At 44.1% G+C, this 2,944-nt stretch overlaps 1 annotated feature.

The window, feature by feature from the left end:
* Positions 720-869: a silencer, noted in NCBI's record as "silent region_12270". NCBI's record gives its function as "represses an Ori minimal core promoter by ATAC-STARR-seq in GM12878 lymphoblastoid cells {active_cell/tissue: GM12878}" and the evidence as "EXISTENCE:reporter gene assay evidence [ECO:0000049][PMID:35858748]".

The following is a 2,944-nucleotide window of genomic DNA, read 5'->3' as shown; positions in this document are numbered from 1 at the left end:
ATGTGCCTGCGTAAACCAGCACCCCAGCCAACAGCCTATTGCAGGGGAAAGACACCTGCCTAGCCTCCCTCTTATTCCTCCATCACTTAGTCTGTCCCGAGATGTCATTGTCAGGCATTGGAAATTACAGAGTCAATCTGCCCTGCCTGTGATGGACTCCGTGTGAATACATCTCTTATGTGTGTTTCACACGCACGATCTGGTCAACACCCAGTGTTCTTTTTTCTCCTCCCTCCTCCCATCACCATCATCCACACGTGGCCATTCACCTCACAGTCTGGTATCTGGGGCCAACCTTACCTCTCAGGGGAGAGACTGATTTGATTTGCTCTTCACCCTGAACAAGGAGACCTTTCATTTAAAAAGGGAAGATGCTTTATTTCCCTGTGAATTAGAATAATGAAATATTTCTTGTAAACCTGGGAATTAAAATGGAGACAATATGAGTCCTTCAGTTTCTTTTATTGGTCTTCAGAGGTGAACGTGGGAGCAGTTGTAAATATGCATCAGGGTATCTCCTGGTCTGATGGTATTGAAACTCCATTCACAGCAATGCTAAGTGTCGCTGCCGGATTTGTCTCCAAGAGCTCCCTCCCATTTCTTCCCACCCTCTACCTCGCTTCCAGCTCCCTACCCTGGTTACAGTGACTTTGAAACTAGTAAGAAGCATTTTGAGGTGACACTCGAGTAGCTGTGTGGTCTGGAATGCATTATAATGTTATGTCTCAATTACAATATTCTTTGGTTGATACACAAGGCAGGCACAGCCAAGATCCAGCCTTAGGGCGCACTGCCACCTCCTGGAAAACCCTCTGTGTGCGGCGCCTGCTATCATCCTTCCTCCAATGCCACCAACCAGAAAACAAGCACTTGTTCATGGCCTTCTGTCTTTAGAATCCAAGATCTGGGCACACCTAGCCATCTTCTCCTGTCCCTTCAAATTGGAATGTACTAATTCCTGAAGGAAGTGAAAATGTGTTGCATTGTCTTTTCTTTTTTTCTTTTTTTTGGAGACAGAGCCTCGCTCTGTCGCCCAGACTGGAGTACAGTGGCATGATCTCGGCTTATTACAACCTCCACCTCCTGGGTTCAAGCGATTCTACTGCTTCAGCCTCCCGAGTAGCTGAGATTACAGGCATGAGCCACCACACCTGGCTCACCTGGCTCATCTTTTATATTTTTGGTAGAGAAAGGGTTTCACCATGTTGGCCAGGCCGGTCTCCAATCCTGACCTCAAGTGATCTGCCCGCCTCAGCCTCCCAAAGAGCTGGGATTACAGGCATGAGCCACCGCACCCGGCTGCATTGTCATCTTAATTACAAACAAGTAACTAGGTTGGGGAAGCCACTGGTGCAGAGATCCGTGATCATTACTCTCACCTTCTGCTCCTGAGGCTGGTAACAGACGCTGCTTACTGTAAATGAGTGCCTGGCACCAGTAGGATCCTGCCCTCGGGATCTCTGGAAGAAGTGCCAACATTATTTACATCATTATGCCTAGCGTTCCATTATTGCAACGCTAACCATGTGGAAGTTATTTATATCCCACTGCTCAAGGTCATTGCCAAGGTCTGATGGCAAAAATTCAAAAAATTGCAACCTCAGGCATAAATGGGTTAAGGACTGGACCAAGGACTTGGAGCAGAAGTCACATGCACAGGCAGAGTGTTGGAGTGGAGGAAGCCCTGAGTTCTTCGGCCCTATTGCTATGTGGTGATTGTTTGAGATTCCACCTTACCAGCATGTTGAGATGTCTAATGAGATATTTTCAGAAAACACCAAAGACACAGAAAAGCACCTATAGGTTTCCATTTAGACTCACAGCAAATGAAGACCAGCACACACAACTGTGTCTTCGAAGCAACCCTGCTGACTAGAGGAGGCTAGCTGTCAGGTTTTGGCTAGAAAAGCAAAAATACATCTGGGGAGATATCAGTCCCATCATCATGAAAAATAATGGGATAACATTTCTCTATCAACAGCTTTCCTTTAAAATAACAAAAATATGATTATCAGGCAAATAAGAACATATTCTCATTAATTGAATTGATTGATTTCAGTTAATTACCTGAATTGCTTAAATTCAACTAGTATCCCTCTGAGTCAGCAGTTCTTATCTTTTGAAAGGGGGGTTACAGACTCTTTGAAAAATATTTTTAAAATGTGAAAATGTCTGTATGCTTCTTCCAGAAAAATGTATACACATTTTTTCTATTATTTAATAATATCTGTGAAACCCCATCACCACTGCCAAAGTGATCTTAACAGCACTTAATTAAAAATGCCTCTTGTAGCTAGTTTTCTTTGCAAGCCTGGGTTCAAGTTTTGGGCATCCTGGTTAATTTGGGGAGAAAGGAGGGGCCACAGGAATATTTGCAATAAGCAGATCCCTGGGTTGGGCACCTACAAGAAATGGCCAAGGATATTTCCACTTCTCTTCTGTTCCCTGGCCTCACACTGAAAGTAGATTTAAACGTTCATCTTTTGAAAATCCTGGACCTTCAGAGACACACATCTGAAAAGCTCAGATAACACCTTGCTTCAGCTCAGCTCCGGGAAAACAAAGCTGAATCAGGGTTCTGCCATAGCACCTGTTTGGACATGCTCTCTGTATTTAGCCCTAGAGAAAAACCCTAATGAAAGTGATTTGGGAACATAGGCTTTCTTGTGGCAGGAGCATCAGACACCACATTTTCTGACAGTATCATTAGTATTAATAGTCTTAACTCCTAATATTTACTAAGCTCTTACATTGTGATTAGAGTAGGTGGTCTAGGGTGGACAAGTCACTCTGTCATGGAAAATCATCATTCAAAGCACTTTACAAACGTTAACCTACCTAATCTCCCCAACAGCAGTGTAAGGTAGGTCCTCTTATCCACAGTTTATCAATGAGGCAGTTGAGACACAAACATGTTCTGCGACTTGCCCAGGTACACAGCCAT

Source organism: Homo sapiens, chromosome 2, assembly GCF_000001405.40.
Source record: "Homo sapiens chromosome 2, GRCh38.p14 Primary Assembly".
NCBI classification, from domain to species: domain Eukaryota; kingdom Metazoa; phylum Chordata; class Mammalia; order Primates; family Hominidae; genus Homo; species Homo sapiens.
Note: the sequence above shows the minus strand (reverse complement) of the source record. Positions and strands in the feature narration are given on the sequence as shown.